This window comes from Homo sapiens, chromosome 4 (genome assembly GCF_000001405.40).
Source record: "Homo sapiens chromosome 4, GRCh38.p14 Primary Assembly".
Classification (NCBI taxonomy): domain Eukaryota; kingdom Metazoa; phylum Chordata; class Mammalia; order Primates; family Hominidae; genus Homo; species Homo sapiens.
In genome coordinates, this window is record NC_000004.12 from 181,547,448 (window position 1) to 181,569,474 (window position 22,027).

Genomic DNA, 22,027 nt, shown 5'->3' on the forward strand with positions numbered 1-22,027 from the left:
ATATCAAACTAATAAAAATTCCAAAAAGTTGAAATAAGGAAATATAAAATCAAAAATTATTTTAAACATGTACAAAAACATGCAAGAATTAAAAAGCATTCACACCAAGTAAAACTGTTGTGGAATTTCTGAACACCAGGAGTAAAGAAATAATCCTAAAAGCCTCTAGAGAGTAAAGATCATTAATATGAAAGACAATTAAACATGAGATTTTCCCACTTAGTACACTGGACACTAAGAAAATGAAACAATGCCTTAGTTATAGTTAACTTTCTTATTCAATATCTTAAAATAATATTTGCTCCAAAGATATCCCAACTTTTTTTTTACCTTGTAATTTCCATTGATATTTATTTATTTTTTCTTTTTTTTATTATACTTTAAGTTTTAGGGTACATGTGCACAATGTGCAGGTTTGTTACATATACATATACATGTGCCATGTTGGTGTGCTGCACCCATTAACTCGTCATTTAACATTACATATATCTCCTAATGCTATCCCTCCCCCGTCCCCCCACCCCACAACAGGCCCTGGTGTGTGATGTTCCCCTTCCTGTGTCTATGTGTTCTCATTGTTCAATTCCCACCTATAAGTGAGAATATGCGGTGTCTGTTTTTTTCTCCTTGCAATAGTTTGCTGAGAATGATAGTTTCCAGCTTCATCCATCTCACACCAGTTAGAACGGCGATCATTAAAAAGTCAGGAAACAACAGGTGCTGGAGAGGATGTGGAGAAATAGGAACATTTTTACACTGTTAGTGGGACTGTAAACTAGTTCAACCATTGTGGAAGTCAGTGTGGCGATCCCTCAGGAATCTGGAACTAGAAATTCCATTTGACCCAGCCATCCCATTACTGGGTATATACCCAAAGGATTATAAATCATGCTGCCATAAAGACACATGCACACGTATGTTTATTGCAGCACTATTCACAATGGCAAAGACTTGGAACCAACCCAAATGTCCATCAGTGATAGACTGGATTAAGAAAATGTGGCACATAAACACCATGGAATACTATGCAGCCATAAAAAAATGATATCCCAACTTTTTAACATTTCTTTCGGTTTTCATCTGATTGAGGGAGTACAGGGTTTAAAATTAACTGAGAGGTGTTCTCAGAAATATAATTTCCACGTGGATTCCTCAGGAAGCTTTTTGATGATGTGCCTCTCCCAAGCAAAAGATTAAACCAAGAAAGAGGGAGATATAGTCAACCCTAGGAGGAAGATAAGAGCCATCTCAGAACATTAATAAACAGACATACCACGTGACAATTTTGAAATGGGAGGAGCAAGGAAACATTTTAAAGTAGAGACGCCATTGGAGCAAGTATGATTTTATTGTCAATGTTCATTGACAAGCTCTTGCTCCAGGGCATTTGTGATATTAAAAGTATGACTGAAAGGGTTTACAGGAGGCAAATATGCAAGTTAATGATAACATTTATTCTAAATCTCCTTCCCTTAGAATCAAGGTAAAAACAGAAGGTAACTGGAGCCCAAAGGAGGATGGGTAATCCTGTCAGCCTGGAAGGCATTCTGGCAGAGTTGACATCTGTGTAATGGGGCGATGGTAACACATTCTTCACAAACATCCATGCTTCCAAAGAGTGGCACTGAGAATGCTGGAACTTCAGCTTACTTGCTGTCCCTGAACATACACATTTCCTTCATCTCCGCCCTCACCCCCTTACCCTATACTCCCACCCCAACCTACTGGCTGCCCCGCCAGAGGTCCCTTTGACTAGGGAGAAACAGTGCCAATGGTAAGTCACCTGGACTGGAAGCCGGAGGCTCAGCTCCAGGGGCACGAACATGAAAGAGACAAGGGACTGCTGGCAATCGCCAGGAGGATGACTCACATCCTCTTTATTCTCCAGCGTAATGACATGAACATGCAATCATGCCATTTTACATCATTGTTATCCTCGGTAGTACTTTTCCCTGCACGCACTGTGCTTCTTTAAATAAGGTTTCTGGTGGGGCTTACCAGTATGGACCAGAGCCTGCATGAAGCCACCAGCCTCTCTCCAACACAGGTCTGTGTTAGGCCAAGCTCTGTGCTCAGCCCTTCCAGGCATGTATGCATATGAATGTGTTTGGTTTTGTGAGCATGTGTATTTTCTTTTCTAAAATGGATCATATGGTATATTCTTTTTAAAATTATTTCATTTTTTCCTGTACCCCAGATTCTTAGGTAATGGCCTGACTTATTCCAGGAAAACACATAATAGGCTCTAAGTGATCCCCATTTCCTCCACTGGATCCCCACGACCCATGCTTTGATTAATCCTGTTCAAAATTTCCCTGTGCTTGGGGTGGGGACAGACTTGCATATTTAATAGTAATCTTATCTTGGTTTCCTCAGCCCATAAAACAAGGAAGCTGGGTTAGATCCTCTATAAATATCTTTTCAGCACTGAATTTCTCTGATTCTGGTACACCTAATACCCAAATGTGATTTTTAAAAACCATACAGTTTTTTTTTCTTTTAACAACTTAAAGATATAATGGGTATAATGTGTCTCGTCAGCATTTCCCATGGTGACAAGAGTGCTCGGGGTTCATTTTACACTTCTGATTTTCCAATAAAGTGTTAGATAACACTTCCAATTGACTAAAAAATGTGGTAACCTAAACAAAAGAGTAACAGTGTATGGGAGACAGTATGTTTTCACTGAAGTCACAAAATGTCTTTTCATAAAGTCCACAGAAGGGACTACAGTAATGTTCATGAGAAACAGATTTTTTTCCCCAGTATGAGATTTGGATTATAACATGAATTCCCTGGAATCAAATTATTTTCTTTTCAGGAATCTAAATTTCAGTTTACGAAGATTCTCTACTTTGATCATAGCCAATGACTAGTACCACCTACCTACAGCAAACAAGCTAAATGCTCTTAATCAAAGGTGGCATTCAAATGGAAATCAACTTCTAGCATCTCTGTAATGGAATTATTGCAAATTCTCTACCAAAAGAACTAAATAAGCACATGCTCTGCAACCATCTTTTTGTGACTGAACAGTATGAATTGATGGTGGTCAATGATCGAGTCTTTCTGAATGTTGCTTGTTGCTCAGGTCCAGTGCATGCTGACACTGATGCACTGATATATCCTAGATACCTACAGGGCAGAGGAACATGAAATGACTGGCATTAAAAATATGCCATGGTATGACCACAAGGTTGCAGAGGAAGAAGAGAATGGATATTGAAAGATAGCCTAGAGTCTATCCAAGTCTTTTATATGTCATTAAATACATTCCTCAGAATTTCTCTAAGCAGTATTTATTATTACTCTAGTTTTATAGCAAATAAAAAAAAATTTGGAGAGACTAAGTAACGGTCCCATATTTACATGCTAATGACAAGCGGTGTTAGCATTTGAATTCAGATCTATCAGGCACAAAGTCCATGCTCTCCTGCAAACTACCCATACTTTAATAATTTATATGTTTTGTGCATGATGTCCCCATTCCTGTAAGTCAGTGGGCTCATTCCCCATTACCTTTCAGATGATTAGTGCTATTAAATATCTCGGAGTTACTGGGTAAGGAACTCAGCATATATTGATAAAGTGAAGCACCTTGATGGATTTTACAACATTGGTGAACAGGAGCAAGGAATTTTCTTTTTTTCCCCCACCCCTGGGAAGCAGGTTATGGTAGCATGCTCCCATTCTCTCTTGACTAAAGCAGAAACAAATTCTTAAAGTGAATGTGGAGTTACCCCAACTCAATTTCCAATGGATTGAGGAAGCATATATTTTGTTCCTGCTCTTTCTGGAAGATCTAATACAAAAAACCTGAAGGAAGTAAAAATGCATCCTGAGAATGAGGATTTCTTTTTCTAGTTACAATTAGTGAAGGTCTTACTTGAAATAAATGCACAATTTGAGGCAGATACACACTCAGGGACTGGCAACTTTGTATGGCACATTCACATAATGTTTAACGTGGGCTGCTACTTAGGTCTTCCTGGAAATGTTGTCATCCTTTTTGATCACACTAATAATACACTATGAAGCGTTGCTCTGTGGGATGTAGTTAAAGCTTATTTGAGCTTCGGCAACCACTGGCACTTTTCCTGGGGGAAAATATCAGAACATTTTTATTTTTATCTCAATCACTCCAGAAAACTTCATGGAGAATAGCCTCTGTCAGGGATATAGGGCAATCGTTGTCACAAACAGTGTTTGAAAAGAGATGGCCTAAATCGTCAATATACTGTGCTGGGAAATGGGAAATGGTGAATAAAAAGGTTCAACAGTAAATGTCTAAACTTTCTTTGAACCAGAATTGCTGAGGTTTTATTTGTTATTTTGTATTTTGCAAAATAGGCAGTTAATAATATATATATATATATATATATATATGTATATGTGTGTGTGTGTGTGTGTGTGTGTGTGTGTGTGTGTGTGTGTGTGTGTGTATATAAATTTTGCCTGTATTCTTTCCAGCAAATATTATCACATGAGTTTTGAAAAATATTCAAGGTGTTTCCTTGGTTTTTAGTTCTTGGTTCAAAAGATTAGGCCGTAAGTTATTTGCAGATGTTTATGTGGGGTGGGAGGAGGTGAGAGAGACAGAGAGAGACAGTGTGTGTGTGAATGTGTTTAAATGTAAAGAACATTAATACATACCTCTAAGAATAGAAAGAGTAATTTTCTTCCTGACATTGAGCAAATATATTTCAGTAAATATGGGAGAAAATAAGATAAGGGAAGTTTTCCTAATTTCATCCAAAAATGCTTATGACATAAATCATACTGGCTCTTTCGAATAGTCAAACTGGTAACTCTTCATTCTTTGGCAGAAAACTACACTGACTTTTCCCCAAGCATGATTAAGTCTATTGAGAAAAACAGATTAAAATATATGATGGCATATCGTTTTATAAGCATTTCCTGTGTCATTAGTGTTAGCAGTATCTTTCCGATATCCATTTCTTTATTGTTTAGAAAGTGATGGTGCAATAGAAAGCCGATTTGCTCATGAATGCAAAGGTTCTAATCCCTGATTCAGAAACATCATTAGTTCCTCTCGTAAGAGCTTCCTCAAAGCACTCACTATAAAGTCCTGTCAACACTTGTAATAATTTTCTATAAACCAAAAGCTTCTCTGAGTTATTATTTTGAGAACGTGCCATATCGTAGGCTGTAGCTTTAGCTTTGTATGTTTTCTGCATTCTCAGTTACTGGGGGGAAAATGGGCTTTATTATTATGTTCTTCTGGGTGGTTGAGAAGAGAAAGATTTACTGTGTAAGAGATGAAGGGACAGAAACAGTAGTAGGAGTCGGAGAGCAAAAAGGCAGCGAAACCACTTCCTTAGGACAAACTTCGGAGGTCCCGGAAGTCTTTCCGTATTCCAATGTGGGCTTTCCCAAAACTGGCTTATTTACAAGAAGTTTGCTAATTCATTTGATTTCATGATTTAGGGAGTTCCATGTGTAAACACGTGCGTGTGCACACAGACACGCACGCACCACACACACACCACACACACTTCCTTTTGTCGATGGTGCTTTTTCTGACTCCCTTCTAGGCCCTTCCTGATGAATAAAAATATCCCTGCACAAATCATGTTTGATTTTTGAACTGCTGAAAATCACTTGATATGGGGCTTGAACATTTTGGTTTGGAGTTATGTTGTTCCTTTCATCCTTGTAGAGAATTATTTTTAAATGAATGGCCTTGGGACAATTAGGCTAGTCTCTGTATCTTAGATCCTGAAGATCCAGAAAATTTTAGAGTACATTTAAGCTCTTTACCTGGCAAGTCAGGTCGCTATTATAGTCATTAAGTGTGTGTGTGTGTGTGTGTGTGTGTGTGTGTGTGTGTAGTGTGTGTGTATGTGTATGCGTATATATATATATATACACACACACACACACATATGTGTAATATAGATATATTTTATGTATATATCCAAGCATGGTACTGGGCCTTGGCAATTCAATGGTGAATGAGATAGAAGGGCTTTTTATTTATTTATTTATTTTGAGGCGGAGTCTGGCTCTGTCGCCCAGGCTGGAGTGCAGGGGCGCGATCTCGGCTCACTGCAAGCTCCGCCTCCCGGGTTCACGTCATTCTCCTGCCTCAGCCTCCCGAGTAGCTGGGACTACGGGTGCCTGCCACCACGCCCGGCTAATTTTTTGTATTTTTAGTAGAGACGGGGTTTCACCGTGTTAGCCAGGATGGTCTCGATCTCCTGACCTCGTGATCTGCCCGCCTCGGCCTCCCAAAGTGTTGGGATTACAGGCGTGAGCCACCGCGCCCGGCCAATAGAAGGGTCTTTATTCCCATGGAGTTTGTAGTTTAGTGGGTCATGCTGTCAAGTAATTGTGAAGCAACTAGATGAAGCTGGGGACAAACTCATAATTCTGAAGCCTGAAATTCAGGACTTCTCCCTTTAAGTGGGCTCTTAGCGCTGCCCAGCAATCCTGCTCCATCCCCCCGCTCTCTGAGTTGACTACTTTACCCTTCTGTCCTCTCTGCCAGCTCTCCATGCCTCCTCCCCTTTACTTGCCTTCAGCTACTGACTCTGCTCCCTTTTTTCCCCTGTCTTCCCTCATGCGGCTCTAACTGTATAGAAACCTAACCTAATGATTCTGTGGTTGGGCTAGCAGGAGGAGGAAGAGGATAAGTAGAACAGTACCATGGAAAATCAGAGGCTGAAGCCAGCCCAAGATGAGGAAAGGTAGATGCTTTCCATTGGATAAATATTTGGCACTTACGTAATTACTAGAATAGAGTGAAATCCACATCACTCTGATCTGGACTTTTGTCTAAGGACCCACTGAAAAGCTGCGGGCGGTGTCTGCCTGAATGTCAGTCTCATGTACAGCTAAAGAAAACATTAACAGAGTGAGTTTAACGGGGAGGGCTGAGAAAGAATAAGCATGCTTCCTGCTTGTAACTCACTCAGTTAGGCTTCGTCAATCAATTGGTTACAATTACATGCATAATAATAGTTTGATGATGAGCAGAATAATTATAATGTTACTAATATCTATGATGAGAACATAAATTGAGAAGATTCAAGAGAATCTAGTTCACCTCTGAACTTAAGATAAATTCTTCCTAGAATTGAAGAAAATGTTGTCATTGTGTGGCTATAGTCCCAAACCAGACATTCTGTCCATTTCCAATGTCTACATCCCATTTCACCTCATGGATGTTATTAAATTCTTTATTAATTTAGCCTTCTGAAAACACTGTGCCAATGAGAGGAGAATGTTTGATGCAAAATAATGAATCTTCGATTTCTAAAGTGGAAAACGTTTCATACTGAAGTTGACAACCTGTTAAATAGTCCCTTTGAAATAGTGGCTGATACGGAAGCAAGTTGGCTTTAAAGAAAGGACTTAAATGGCTAATCCAGCTCCAAGTGCTTATTCCAGAAGAAGAACTCAGCTTGATTTTGTTTTGCCATCTATTGTAACATCAGTTTACTTTGGATCAGTTTATTTTTAATACTTTGAATGCGTCTCTGCACTTAGCCAGATTAAATGTCACCACTTAAAATTGACAAGAGATAGAATTTAACCGGTAATAATTTTATATTTTTATCATTTTCCATAGTACAGTGTATTTTTTAAAGTATGAACCTTTTCTAGCAGTATTGCCTGTTATTAATAATGACAATAATGAGTGCTAACATTTATTGAGTGATTCCTACATGGTAGGCAGACCAAACACTTTAAATGCATTGCCATATTTCATCCTCATAACCATGAAGTAGATACTATTATTTTCTTCACTTTACAGAGGAGAAAGGTGAGGTTTATAGAGGTTCGCAGACTGGTGCAACGCCACATAGCTAGTTACTGCTTGAGTTAGGGTACTAATCGAGTTCTGTCTCATTCGAGACTATATTATCTTAGCCACTAAAAATTAGTTGCTTCTTATTGTAAGTGGACAGAAAAGTACCATACTTGGCATTCTGCTCCAACTGTGTTAATTCCTATGATTTGCTTTATTTAAGGTATGATCAGTTTTAGAAATTTGAAATCCAATTTAAATAACTCAACAAGCAACCATATTTAATTGATAAAAACAAATAAAATTCTTCAATATAAGCAAGTTAGTGATCTCTGCTTCTAACTTAGGCTTTCCCTTGTGTATTAATCAACGTTGTAACAAGTATCCTTAATGCCTCAATTACGAGATACAGAAAAGGTTAGTTCAAGTTTAGGTTGCAGTCCAGTGAAGATTAGCCCATTCTCTCTTCCAGGTGTTCTATCTGTGTGTCTACCATCTCCTAAAGCCTTGGAATTCTCCCCTATATCCTGTACCTCTGGCCAGATATTGAATGAAATGAATGTGGAAGATCAGACTAGAGATCTGAATAGCATACATCATACATCACTTCTGCTCACATACTATGGGCCAGAACTCAGTTGGGTGACCACACTTAAATGCAAGGGAGAGTGGGCCATGAAGCTTGGCAGTGAACCTAGAAGAGAGAACATGGGTATTGATGAATAAATAACTAGCCAGTCTGCCATGCCTTTATAAGCCTTAAGGAACTTTGACAAGTTCAAAAAGCATTCAGGTCAAAAAATATTTTCCAGGTTTTCATGTGTTTACTATTACCTTAGGGATGTTTTATTCTCAAGATGTTTGTCCTTAACATGTTTTTCCTCAGCTCTGAATCTGTAGACAGTGGAATTTGCATTGCCAACAAGTTGGTTGGTAATAATCCAAGGGAAATTTATACATTTTATTATTTTGTATTTTCTTCCTTAAGATTATAGAACTTCCACGACTTTTGTCTTTCCCTATATCTTCAGTACCTGACAGAATTTTTTTTTATATTGTAAGAGGCTGATGTATGAAATTAATGTGGAATTTCATGCCTGATAGCTTACTAATTGGATGCTCAGTAGATTCTAATTTGTGGGGTTTTTTTCTAAATTGAATAATGTACAGTATATCAATTTTACAACATTAGTTTATGAAGCCTTGACAATAATTTATAAACTTTAATTAACATTGATATACACATATTATTGCTATTCTAACAGTAACTAGATATTAAGAATCAAGCTTTTTTATTCGTTAAAGACTTACATCATTTAAAAAATTATATACTCTGGACATTTTTTCTATTACAACTAGTTTTTAATGTGCATTCATAGTAAAAGGCATGATTTAGTATATAAAGATAACCAATGTGAACACATCTACTGTTTTCTTTGTTTTACTACCTGCACTTCGATTCTTTATTATTATGAATTTTTCATCCAGAAGCGTTGATGCATTTTTGGTAAAATTCATCTGTTATTCTTTCCTCAGTGGGTCATTATCATGAGATTTCATAACATTTTTCATTTGTTCTTCTCGAAATTTTGCATTGTCTTCATTTTTATAAGACTTTATAACTTGCAACATCTCAAGTGCATAGTATACCAAATTCAGCGTAATGAGAAAACGTAACGGTTTTGACCCTATGAAAGCTCTCCCAACTCTTTGATTTCATATAATATTATCTCTTTCCCCTACAGCCTTGATGTAAAAAATCTTGTTATTAATGATGGTTAAGTCAGAAATGTATCTCAGAAATTTTGACACTAATGTTAAAAAGTCCACATTCTGGACTTTTTTCCCATTAGCCCTCTTTGTGCAAATTTGCAACAGGTATGGTCTACAGAATAATACTGGAAAGAAAAAGTGTCAGGTGCTACACAGAACATAACAGGCTCATAGCATTATTTGCTTAATAGAATAGGTAAAAATGTGGAGGAGTTACTCTTTGAATCATTATAATTGTCTCCACTGTGTCTTCAAGAAACAAGGTCAATGGGTCACAATGTCAGTATTTAGAAGATGATGGATATATTTTTAACCCTTGCATAGCCACCTAGGCCAATTCCTACTTTGCAGTTGCGTTATATATGCAGCCCCATTCCAAAGTAATAGATCCCTTTTCAACTTTTATGTATGGAACTGTGCTTAAAAGTAAGAGAAACCACATGTTGAAAATATTTTATCATTTAAATTTTATTGAAGTTACTTTATACATATTGAATGTGTTGGGCAAAGTACACACGTCTCCATATATTTCTTTTCTTTTTTTTCTTTTTAAACAGGGTCTCACTCTATTGCTCAGGTTGGAGTGCAGTGACGCAATCACAGCTCACTGCAGCTTCGACTTCCCAGGCTCAAGTGATTCTCCCACCGCAGCCTCCCTAGTCACTGGGACTACCGGTGCCTGCCACCACCCCCAGCTATTTTTTTTTTGTCTTTTTAGTAGAGACAGGGTTTTGCCATGTTGCCCAGGCTGGTCTCCAACTCCTTAGCTCAAGAGATCTGCCTGACTTGGCCTCTCAAAGTGTTGGGATTACAGGCGTAAGCCACCACGCCTGACCTCTCCATATATTTCTACATAAGTTAAAATTTAGAAAATAAAAATAAGGCAAAGATATCCCTAGATTTCCAGAGGTAAAGACGTTGTAGGAGAGTGAAGGAACTTTCAGGTCTATCGAAGCCTAAAGTGTTACATGTTCCTATGTTCCTGCAGTGATTGCTGATGCCAAAGTATTCCTCTTCAAATGAGAGGCTGTGAATTTGTTCTGTTTAATGGTTTCCAAAGCAGTTGGGAGATGTGACCCTCTAGAGATTTTGAAGGGATTTGATTTTTGATGCCTGAGTACTATTGAGAAAGTTCAGCTATTGAAAGAGTGTATGAGAAAATCTATATGGAAGATCAATTTCACAAGTACTTTGTAAAAGCCTCAGACAAGAGTCTCACTTGACACAGAATATAGAAGGTCCATGCCAAAAATTTGTCAACACACTCATCTTTTGGACAAAAATATAGATTTGAACTTACAGAGTATGATGTCCTGTCAAAGCACAGATCACTCCACAACTGAGTTCAACAATAAATTCCAAGAGGCTTGTAAAACCCACTATTGATGTGATTCCTGAACATGAATAAACAGTTTGGCCACAGCTCTGCTAAAATACAAATGTGGATCGTGACATGGGTAATAAAGTAGTATATGAACTATTCAATACGGGATTATAAACTATTAGGCAAGCACTTATGAATACTCCCTTTCACAAACCATTCCATAATCCATGCAGACAGTTTTCTGTCAGTCCAAATGGATGCATTTATGAAATAATAGGTATGCCTGGGAGGACCCCTCCAGAGCATTCCTGGTTGCAATGATGCCTGGGTTGTGAGGTTGCAACGTTTATCAATAGTCCATGTTCTGTAATAACAGGGAAACACCTGGCTATTCTCCAAATGCATAGAAGAGCAAAGCTATATCACCAACTGCAATATGGCATTGGTCAGGCAAAAGATATTTGGGTTAATCAAATTTTATGGTTAATACCTGCATGCAAGAAAAGTTTTCAAGGAATTAAAATCCAGTTTATGCAAAAAGAAATATTGTAACCATGGCTTAATATTTGATCATTTCAAGAGCATTTGGGAAACTTAGCCTCAAGGATATAATTATGAATCTCACTTATTATTTTACTGTAAATATGTTGATGTGCTGGCTAGTAGAGCTTTTGGTAGATAGCACACTGACATCTGACCTTTGTTTATCTTCTGTTTGGTATTTCAAATCCTTCAAATGTGAAGGATTTACTTTAAGGATTCGACTTGCTTTTCGAATTAAAAAAAAAATGATATACAATTCCAGTGAGTACATATAAGCAAAGTGCTTCCTAAAGGGTAATTGGAATAATTATCCACTAATGACGAAGGGAAAAACATAAGGATTTAAAATGTGTTTCTTCTGATTCTTTCTGATAATCTCCTGATTATTCAACGATTTAACCCTGAGACCAGGAAGAAAAGTTACTAAAAATAAATAGCCCAATAAAGAAAGAATGTGTATACCGACCCACAATGGCAAATTGATCCAACCTGTTTTCTGACCTTTTAAATTATGGCTTGTAATTTTCTATGAGATTTTACATAGGCAGCAGCTTGGAGTAGTGATTAAAGGGATTCTAGACTCAGAAGACTTGAGTTCAAATCCCAGATATTCCAGTCACTATTTTTGTGATTCTGGGCAATGTATTAAAGCTCTTCCAGTCTCTGTTTCCTTATTTGAAAAATTGCATAATAACTTTTCTTCATTATTAGGAAGAGTAGATGAATTAATACCATGTGAAACATTTAGAACAGTGCCTGGCATATACTAAGTGTTCAAGAAGCATTAGCTATTACTAATATATTTAACATTATGACTATCGAGTATTGATTCTAATGTGGCAATGTCACGCCTGCATCATTCTGCTCCATGCCCTGTGCCTTTGCCCCTGCTATTTTGTTTGCCTAGGAGGCTGCACTCAGCCGCATACCAGCCAAACTACAACTGCATCTTCAAGGTGCAGCTTGCCTAGGGGCATTGAGAAACCACACGCAGGAGACATTGAGAAACCACAGGCTTCCTTGCTGGCTCAAAGAAGTAATGAATATGTGTAATGTCCACTAAATTAATTCACTTAAAGATTTGGATCTTAAAACAGGAATATAATTATTAAATGTCATGGCCTTCATTTTTTAGAATAACAATGACATATTTTAGCTTTTATTTTAATGACTTGTCTTAGTTTGTTTAGGCTACTGTAACAGAATACCCTAGACTGGATGGCTCAAAAGTAACAGAAATGCATTTCTCGTGGTCTTGGAGGCTGGGAAGTTCAAGGTTTAGGCACTAGCAGACTCAGCGTCTGGTGAGCACTGGCTTCCCAGTTTATAGAATGCTGTCTTCTCACTGTGGCTTCACATGGCAGAAGGAGTGAGGGAGCTCTGTTTTGTAAGGGCACTAATCCCCTTCACAGGGGCCCACCCTCATGACCTAATCACCTCCCCAAAGCCCTACTTTCTAACACCATCACGTTGTGAGGTCAGGTTTCAACATATGAGTTAGGGGGTGTGGGGACACAAACATTCTGTCTCTAACACAGGTATTGGGCTACCATTCATTTGCTTTGTTTTATTTTTGAAATTATATAAACACATGAGGAAAAATTCGAACACTAGAGAAGGGTATCGGTGAAAGGAGATCAATTCCTCCTTCATATGTCAACTCCCAATCTGCCTTCCCGGAGACATGCTCTCCATATTCAAGTGTGTATGTCTACAACACACACTCTTTCAAACAAACAGGGACTCAGGAAACGTAATATGATTTACCTTATTTTTGTGCTTCAGGAAGTAGGTTAGAATTTTTCCACATCAGCAGCACAACTGACCTACCTCAGTTTGTTAACAGCTGCATGACTCTACCCGTGAGGAACCAAGTTGCTGAGTGAAGTTCCCCCAGCCAGGAAGGTCCGGGAAGGCGTGCCCAGCACCCCGCCTGCTTTGTTCAGGAACAGACAGCAGCTCTTTCTCTGCTCACGGTGCAGGGCAAAGCAAATCAAACAGGAGGGCATGGCTCTAAAGCTTTTTTTGTGGACAACAACAAGGGAGGGAGGAGGAAGGCTGTGACTTCCCACAAGTTAATAATTTTTATCCCTTAATTTTTATTTTTTTTCTTAAGGCAGAGTCTCTGTCGCCCAGGCTGGAGTGCAGTGACGCGATTTCAACTCACTGCAACCCTCGCCTCCTGGGTTCAAGCGATTCTCCTGCCTCAGCCTCCCGAGTAGCTGGGATTTCGGGTGTGTGCCACCAACGTCCGGCTAATTTTTGTATTTTTGGTAGAGACGGGGTTTCGCCATGTTGGCCAGGCTGGTCTCGAACTCCTGACCTCAGGTGATCCACCCATCTCGGCCTCCCAAAGTGTTGGGATTACAGGTGTGAGCCACTGTGCCCCACCTTTATCCCTCAATATTAAGAAAATCCAATAACATGTAGTTTAATATATAATGTAAAGACAGTTTCAGCTACATGCTGTATGAATGAACCAAAAACTTTCTTGAGTATGAAATTGAAATTGAAATTGAGAGTGCATGTAGCCTTATTTTTGGTGAGTAGTTGGATTTTTGTTTCCTGATTACAAAATATGGCAGAAAATTTGAACATATGAAAAGCAAAAGCAAAGAAAGTGTTAAAGATTATTCGTAATTTCACCAGCAGGATAATCAATCAGTAGTAACCTTTCACAAATTTTCTGTACATTATTACTTTATAAATCACTGCTTCACTTAGTAGAACTTTACACTCTATGACACTAGTTTCCTTGTTTTCTTTTGAACAACATGATTTTTACATTCTAGATATGTGCTGTGATTTACTTAGGCATTTTACATATAACTAATTTATGAAACTTAATGTTGGACTTCCTATTATTAATTTATGCTATGGATAACACTGATGTGAGCGTGCATCTTCTGTTATTCTCAGATAAATCCCTTAAAATATTTTCCTAAAAGTAGAATTTCCTGTTCAAAGAGTATGAACAACACTGTTATGCCTTTTGATACATGTTTTCGGATAACCATCTGGGAAGATAACAATTTAACCTCCAACTCGCAGGATGGGAGAATATACACATTCCCCTGGATCCTTGCGAATTGTGGGTGTTTTCTTTTCTTTTTTAATTTTGTCTAATTCATATCAGGTTTTAATTTTGTGACGTTGATCACTTTTATATTTTGCTAGGATGAGGAATGCATTTATCATTTTTACGGATTAAGAGTACTTTATGTTGTGTATTAACAAACATTTGTCTATCATATATTTCAAATATTTTTCCCAGTTTTATGTTACTTAATTAGTTTCTTTGTTTTGATATGCAGATACTTAAATTTATTTGTAGTCAAATATAGAAACCTTATCTATTACGTTTTTTTTTACGTTGTCTTCATGTTTAAAAATTTTTCTTACTTCCAGGTTTTTAGCTTTAAATTTTCATATACATACAGATAGATCAACATTCATTTTAATTTCTTTTAATTTCATCTTTCCCAGTTATCACTTTAATGTACTATATCAGCTAAGGAATAAAATACATTGGTATAAGACAAAACTCCCAAAGCACAGTTGTTCAAAAGTATGCTATAAAAATTAATTCTCTCACACATAATATTCTAGATGTGGGCCAGTTGTCTAAAACAGCAAGCAATTTGGTATATGTAGTCTTCCAGGGACCCATGTATTTTCCATCATGTTGCTTCTCTATTTTAGTTTTTTTTCTTTTGCCCTTATCTTCAGAATCAAAGCTGGCTCACCAGCAAAATAGCCACTTTCCAGCCTGTGATGGCAGGAAAAGGAGAACAGAGAACAAATAGATTCTTCTTAATTTTTTTTTTTTTTTGAGATGGAGTTTCATTCTTGTCACCCAGGCTAGAGCAGTGCCGCGATCTCAGCTCACTGCAACCTCTGCCTCCTGGGTTCAAGTGATTCTCCTGCCTCAGCCTCCCAAGTAGCTGGGATTACAAGTGCCCATCACCATGCCTGGCTAATTTTGGTATTTTTAGTATAGGCGGGGTTTCACCATGTTGGCCAGGCTGGTCTCGAATTTCTGACATCAGGTGATTAGCCCGCCTGGGCCTCCCAAAGTGCTGGGATTACAGGAGTGAGCCACCGTGCCGGGCCCTTCTTAGGGCCACTGGGGAGTTGCGTACGATACTTTTGCTAATGTTCTTTGGACTGGGACTTCATCATATGACCGCAACTAGCTGCAATGGCACCTGGGTGCATTCGTTTGCTAGGGCTGCCTTAACAAAGTACCACACACGGGGAGGGTGGCTTAAACAGCAGAAACTCATTGCCTCACAGTTTTGGGGAGTAGAAGTCTGAGATCAAGGTGTCGTCAGCAGGGCTGGTTCCTTCCAGGGCTGTAAGGAAGAAGCTGTTCCCAGTCCCTCCTCAGCTTCTGGAGTTCTGCTGGCAATCTTCACCATTTCTCGGCTTGTAGAAGCCTCACTCTGATCTCTGGCTTCATCTGTACTAGGTTTTCTCACTATGTGTGTTTCTCTGTGCCCAAGTTTCCCCTTTAAAAAGGGACACCAGGCATTTTGGATTGGGGCCCACCTTAATGACCTTATCTTGACGTAACTAATGATATCTTCAATTATTCTACTTTCAAATAAGTTCATATTCTGAGATATTGCTATTGAACATCAGCAAATAAATGGGGATGAAGAGAGGAGTAATTCAACCTGAAAAACCTTGGAAGATAGTCTTTACCTTAGCAAAAGAAAGGATGTGGGACTTTGGAACTGAAAGCCAACTATCGGTCTCATTTATCTTGAATTTATTTTAATCCTGAATTTGAGATGCAGACATACATTCATTTTTATTCAACTTTTAAAACCAATTTTCCACTGTCATTTAATAACCCCAAATTGTCTCACTATTTAAAATGACATATTTCCTGTGTTCAAAATAAGGCCCATGCTCTTAAACCCCAAGTGAGATATGTGTAGCATGCTGAACCATACTGTAACCATACAATAGCTCATACAATCTAACCATACAGTAGACCAACAGGGTCTATTTACTCCCTGTATTTTCTATCATATTTCATTGATCTTGTCTAACATTCATTGGAATCACATAATATTTGTGTATTATAACTTCAGTGAGAAAATAATTGTAACTTCTCCATAGAGAAAATGAAAATGATGTTTTCTTTTCTTTTCTTTTCTTTTCTTTTTTCTTTTTTTTTTTTTTTTTTGAGATAGAATCTCACTCTGTTGCCCAGGCTGGAGTGCACTGGCAGGATCTCAGCTCACTGCAACCTCTGCCTCCCAGATTCAAGTGATTCTCCTGCCTCAGTCTCCCAAGTAGCTGGGACAAACACCCAGATAATTTTTGTAGTTTTAGTAGAGATGAGGTTCCACCATGTTGTCCAGGCTGAGAAAATGTTTTCTATATTTTAGGATAGGACTGAGTCATTCATTATAGTATTAGCGACACACATATTCAGTGGTTACTAAACACACGACTAACTTATGAAGCGGGCACTGTTTTTTGCCTATTTAAGGAATGAGGATAATGAGGCACAGAGAGCTTGAGTGACTTGCCCAGAGTTGCAGAACTATTAAACAAGGGGCAGAGCATGGATTGAAATCCAGGTGCATCCAACTCAGGACCTAAGCTCTTAAACGCCATGGAATAAGCCCCATGTCCAGTGCACTCAACTCTAAAATGACACCAACTGTACCTATGTACAAGCTCGCCATTAAACAGTGTGTATGGAACTTACAACCCAGTGTCTTACATGAAAAGGGGTCTTCGTCAAAACATCCTCCTTCCTCCTCCCCCATCTGTCTCAGTGGACAGAGCAATTCTCTGCCGTGAAAGTGTAGAATGTTACTGAAAGAGTTCATAGTTAAACCCAGTCAATCACTATCTCTGACCTCCCATAATTTGCAAAATATTTTTGTATCCTTAACGAAGTCATCCATTTACATAAGCCGCAGTATCCTGCTGTGTGAGTCACTGGCATTAGGCAGTTTCACCTTTAAAGTATTAATGAATCTCCACTTTTTTTCTCTGTGATATCTCAGTGGGCAGCTTTGTGGCTTTCTGATCAAACTGTTCTCTCATTGAAGGAGCCAGCATGGAATTCATCAATATGTGTCTGGTCGAATGTGAGATCCTTTTATCCGAGGACCTCCAAATCCCCAGATATTACCGCAATTGTATATATCAAGTTAATATTTCAGTTTGCTTATTTATTTGTGAATATGTCACTTTGTAACAAGATAATTTACAGCCCGTTTAAACTGTTCTCAACTGCAGCTTTCTGACATAGTTGATTTTTGTTACAGTCAAATAATTCCCTGAGTTAAAGACTGCTCTTTCTCCCTCAAACTGTCCCATGACCTTCATCAGAGGGCAAACTGCAGGATAGGAGAGTACAGGCAACGAGGACTAATACTCTTCTCTCCATTAGACCAGAACACTGCATAATTTCAACCTACCATTAATGATCAAAGTTACATGGACGTATTTAAACTCAGGTATTATGAAGAAACATACTTAGAGAATAAATTTTACTGGATGGTTACAATATTGCCAGATACTATGCTTAGTCTTAGAGATACATCAATCAGCAAAACAATTCTTGCCAAAAAAGTAAATCTTAGAAGGTGGGAAACGGGTACATAAAGTGATTAGTGTATAAGAAGTGCAATGGCGAAGTATGTGCAGAATATTACAGGGATGCGGACGAGGGCACGCAGCAAAGTCAAAAGCTGAAGGGTGAGTATCAGGGTGGCTCCCTGTAGAGAGAAACAGCTGAGCTAAATCTTAAAGAATGCATGTACTAGGTGTACACTTTATATATAATATCTTATTGAAGGTATTATCATGTTTGTGATTTTATTTCTATGTTAGCTAGAATGATTTCATGCTAGAGAATTATATTAGAAAAGTAGATTGCAATTAATCAATTTATTTTCTTACAAAAATCCATGATGTTAGTGCATATTAATACAAGGGAAAATCCTATGATTTATGGAAAGGAAGAATTACTGAAACCATTAATAAAGTTTAGACAGGTCCAGAATGATAAAGTGCGGAAGTAATCACAAAATGTTTGTTGAATTAGTTAATTTAAAGTGAGACAGAAATTAATCACATACACATTGTTCTAAGTTGGAAAAAAAGGAGATAGAAACCACATACTACTACATGCAGAATACAGCAGAGTCCAACTATTTCCACAAAAACCTAGTTTCCCCCAAAGAGGTTTATAGATGTTTGGCGAAGAAAAAAAAATGTTTTGTATTAAAATAATTTGGGGAAATATAAGCTTAAATAAAATTAGAAAGAGCTGCTTCTTTTGCAAGATTTTTTAGAACTTTTAGTATACTAAGCAATATCTCCCTGAAATTGTTGATCAGGAAATTGTTGCTTTCTCCAGAACACTTACTAATATGCAATCAAACTAGTGTTTCAGAAAAACTGTTTGAGAGATACTGACATGAGAATTTCAGGAGAAATTTTGGGAAAGGGAACTAGACCTTTGCCAATGAACTCAATGTCTTCTAAATACATGTTTGGAAAAATAAAAATCTTTATTACTAAGCTGAATCTCAATCTTGGGCTTCTATTCTGCTTGATTGAAGAGCTCTCTCTGTAATCAATGACAGGTAAGCTTGATTTCAGGATATAATACCATCAGTTTGAGATTTTCCTCTTTCCCACCCTTCTCAGAGGGGCATCAAAGTGCTGGTGAGCTTCTGCAGGATCTCGTAGCATTGGGATAGCACATATGGTTCTCATCTGGTAACTGTCCATGCAGCGACCAGCTGTGGTTTACACAGGCCCGTCTGGTTTTCAGCTGTTGTTATTCTTCTCTGAGATGTCTGCCTCTGCATCTGGCTCTCCAGCCGTGTGTTCACACTACATCCACCACAATGTCACCTCCTTTTGATTAAGTGACTACTTCAGGTCAGCCAACTCTCTCTTAGCTAATTTCTGTGCTTTACTCAAACTGTGGAAGAATTAGGCTGCTTCGCCACATCACTCTATGTCCATGAGAAGCTCGGCGAAGCTGCCTAAGACCAGCCCTGCCTCTAATAGTGCTTGGATGCCAACAGGTACCAGGAATTGTCTGTGAAGATGCCATCTTCCGAGACTCCAAATAGGGTTCTGGCCTCCCAGAGCTTACCTGGGCATGAAGTCATTCCACCCTCTTAAAGAAAAGCTAGGTGGTAGTGGGGTTGGAATATGAGGGATTCGTGCAAATGATCCCGCTTTAGACACCATACTCTGATCAATAAGAGTAGAAATATACTCAGTGAATTTTAATAGGTATTATCAAAGCCTGTGGGCAAAGTGGAGCATACCTAAAAGCCTATCTCTTCATCATCACCTTTAAGGATCACCCCATCACCTTCAGGAACCTTTCATTATAACTCCTTTTAAGTTCTGCGCCCTTAGTAAATTCTAAAGATTTAATTTATAATTCGTAAAATGACTTTTCCAAAAATATTTGCATATATTCTGTTCGTGTCTCTTGCAAATGTAGAAACTTTATCTTGACTTAGATACTTTTAGCAAAAATGTGAAGCCTAATTAGCACTATAACACTAACATAAATTATTAACTCTAACATAAATTATTTAATTACCACATCAGGCAGACACCTTCAAATGGATAACCTTGTAACTAAGCAATACTAACTTTCCTCATAGACAGTTTCTACCAAAACACCAAAAGTGATTTTAAAAAAGAAAATTCTGACCTTAGGGCTAAATAAACATGTTGAGGTGACTTCCTTTGTTTCTCAAACTGTATCTCTTTATTTAAGATTAAGAATAAAGCAGAAAAATCACAGTATGTGTATCTTCATGAACTAGAAGTTGATAACAAGTTCTTTTTTACTCTTTTATAGAGTAAAAGGAAACTGATATGTTGTGTATGTGTGTGACACATGAGGTCTTTCTACATATAATATTGGATTTAGATAAATACTATTACTGCTTACCGTACAGTTAAGGAGACTGAGGATCTGAAAGGCGAAATAATTAGTCCAGGGTTATAAAACTATGAAGTTGTGGAGCTCATATCTTCATCTTCTGTTGACAAAGCCCATAGCACCTTTGGCCAACTTACTTGTCAGAGACGTGCTTTCTAAGAGATGAAAACAGAAAAAAAAATCATATATTACATCAGAAAATAGGAAATGCATTGTGTTTCTTAAAATACGAGTTAAGGAATGATCAAGCATCTAGCAGTTTTTCTCATCCTTTTTTACAGTTGACAGGTTTAGAGCCTGTTTTCTCCATAGGAAGGGTTGTGGGTAGTCACTCATGCCAACTAATACTTTTTTTTTTTTTTTTTTTTGACAGAGTTTGTCTTTTCTTGCCCAGGCTGGAGTGCAGTGGTGTAGTCTCAGCTCACTGCAACCTCTGCCTCCTGGGTTCAAGTGATTCTCCTGCCTCAGCCTCCCGAGTAGCTGAGATTACAGGCGCCCGCCACCACACCCAGATAATTGTTTTGTTTTGTTTTGTTTTTGTTTTACTATGTATTTTTAGTAGAGACAGGGTCTCACCATGTTAGCCAGGCTGGTCTGGAATTCCTGACCTCAGATGATCCACCCCTCATCCTCCCAAAGTGCTGGGATTACAGGCGTGAGCCACTACACCTGGCCGCCAACTATGTCTTTTACTGCTACCATCTTGGGGTCCACGTATCCTCATGCTTCCTCTTGCCATTGCAGACCCTGTGTGACCCACCCCAACCCCAAGCAAACTCCTCAGGGAAATCTGGTACCTAGGACCTTTATTCCCCCTGGAACTGTCTTGTGCTGACCTATTTCTTTCTCAGGCAATAGAGTCCTCGCAGAAAATCTGATACTTTATTCAGCACTTTGGAGTAGCTGGCTTAATAGACTGTCCCACACCAACAAACAGATCCCACTTCCCTAATCCTTTCCAAGCTCCCACAGATCTTGCCACTCCCAAGAGCAGGCTCGTCACTCCTGTGACACAAAGGGCACACATAGGTCATGCCAAGGCACCTATAAAGTTGTAATCCTTTGGAGGATTAGAGGAATGAGAGACTTCCACTCCCCAAGGGTAGGGATTATTGTCTGTTCTGTTACGTGTGTATCCCAAAAGCCTAGAACAGTACCTGGAACAGAGTTGGCACTTAAAAACTTAATATTTATTGAATGCAGAGTAATAGCAAGGAGAAAAGTAATAAAAGGTTTTTGCCAGTGCAGTGGCTCATGCCTATAATCCCAGCACTTTGGGAGGCCTAGGTGGGACCATCACTTGAGCCCAGGAGTTCAAGACCAGCCTGGACCACATAGTGAGGCCCCCGTCTCTAAAATAAAAAACAGCAACAACAAATGTGAGGTCTCCCTGCTGCCCTGCTCTTTCTTATTGTGTCTGGTCCTCCGAGGTGAGAACATGGTGTGCCTATAGTTCACCACGTCCTTGTTTAAGCTTCTCGTTGATTTCAAGTGGACTATTTGACCACGATAAGCCTGGAAATTAAAATCTGACTTATTTATATTCTAAATCCTGTTACTATTATACTGCAAGTTGTTGAAAGTGTTGTGCCTTTGTGTGTACATTTTTATTTCCATAAGTGGATAGAATAGAATGTAAGGATTGTAGAATCTCTGTCAT

General features: G+C 38.4%; 1 protein-coding gene across 6 annotated transcripts in view, besides 1 other annotated feature; it reads left to right on the top strand.

Moving 5' to 3' along the window:
• Positions 1-22,027, top strand: part of TENM3 (teneurin transmembrane protein 3) — a 1,355,412-nt gene that overhangs the window by 99,835 nt on the left and 1,233,550 nt on the right. The window lies entirely within an intron of this gene.
• Positions 1,428-2,627: an enhancer, noted in NCBI's record as "P300/CBP strongly-dependent group 1 enhancer chr4:182470028-182471227 (GRCh37/hg19 assembly coordinates)". NCBI's record gives its function as "activates an origin of replication core promoter dependent on BRD2, BRD4, P300/CBP, MED14 and CDK7 cofactors, with strong dependence on P300/CBP, by STARR-seq in HCT116 cells {active_cell/tissue: HCT116}" and the evidence as "EXISTENCE:reporter gene assay evidence [ECO:0000049][PMID:35650434]".